Raw genomic sequence first — 1,197 nt, forward strand, 5'->3', positions numbered from 1 at the left:
TCCATCCTCCTGCTTCAGCCTGGATTCCTGGCTGTTGGTATGGGAAGTCTCTCCTTGCTATAATCTTGATGTGCTTGATTATCTTGTCTTTGGGATCGCATTTCCTGGATAATTTGTCTTCCTCTTTCTTGGTTTACTCTCCAGTTTTGCTACAGTGTACCCTCCAGCAGTTTCCTAGGAAAGGGCCATGTAAAGTAACCTATTAAAGTCATGCACACTTAAAAATGCCATTATTGTACCCTCTCACTTGACTGATACTTTTTCCTGGGTCTGAACCACACTCAATTGCCTCAGAGAACTGAAGTTCACAGTCTTTTAAAATAAACATAGAAATCCACCCTCACAGTCAATTACCTTTATAATTGACAACTTCCATCCATCTTATCTGAGTTCCTTCCCCAGGAAGCCAACTCTCAGGCCTCCCAGATAGTATCAAGGAACTGAAACTCACCAGATCACCACATCCAGACAATGAAAAGCCAGACCCCTCATTCTTTTTCATCTCCTTACCTCTCCCCAATTCCTGTTTAGCTGCCTGTAGTTACATTCTTTCCCCGCTATGTAAGCCCTCAATTTTAGTCAATCAAGGAGATGGATTTGAGAATGAGCTCCCATCTCCTCAGCTGCAGCACCCAGTTAGAGCCTTCTTCCCTGGCAATACTTGTTGTCTCAGTGATTGACTTTCTGTGCTGGGAGCAGCAGGACCCAGACCAAACCCCTGGTGTGTTGTTAACAAGTAGAATATTTTAGGTTGAATGGCACTTTTCCCTCCAAATTTTAAAGGCTTGTTCTAGCATCTTCCAGCCTCCAGTGTTGCTCAGAGAAGACTCTGATGATTCCTTTATTTGTAGTTGAATTATTATTATTATTATTATTATTATTATTTTGAGACAGAGTCTTGCTCAGTCTCCCAGGCTGGAGTGCAATGGTGCAATCTTGGCTCGCTGCAACTTCCGCCTCCCAGGCTCAAGTGATTCTTTTGCCTCAGCCTCCTGAGTAGCTGGGATTACAGGCGCCTGCCACTGCACCCAACTAATTTTTGTATTTTTTAGTAGAGACGGGGTTTCACCATGTTGGCCAAGCTGGTCTCAAACTCCTGACCTCAGGTGATCCACCTATCTCGGCTTCCCAAAGTGCTGGGATTACAGGCATGAGCCACCATACCCTGCCCTGTGAATTATTTTTGTGTGACCCTTT

The sequence above is a fragment of the Homo sapiens genome, chromosome 2 (assembly GCF_000001405.40).
Source record: "Homo sapiens chromosome 2, GRCh38.p14 Primary Assembly".
Classification (NCBI taxonomy): Eukaryota; Metazoa; Chordata; class Mammalia; order Primates; family Hominidae; genus Homo; species Homo sapiens.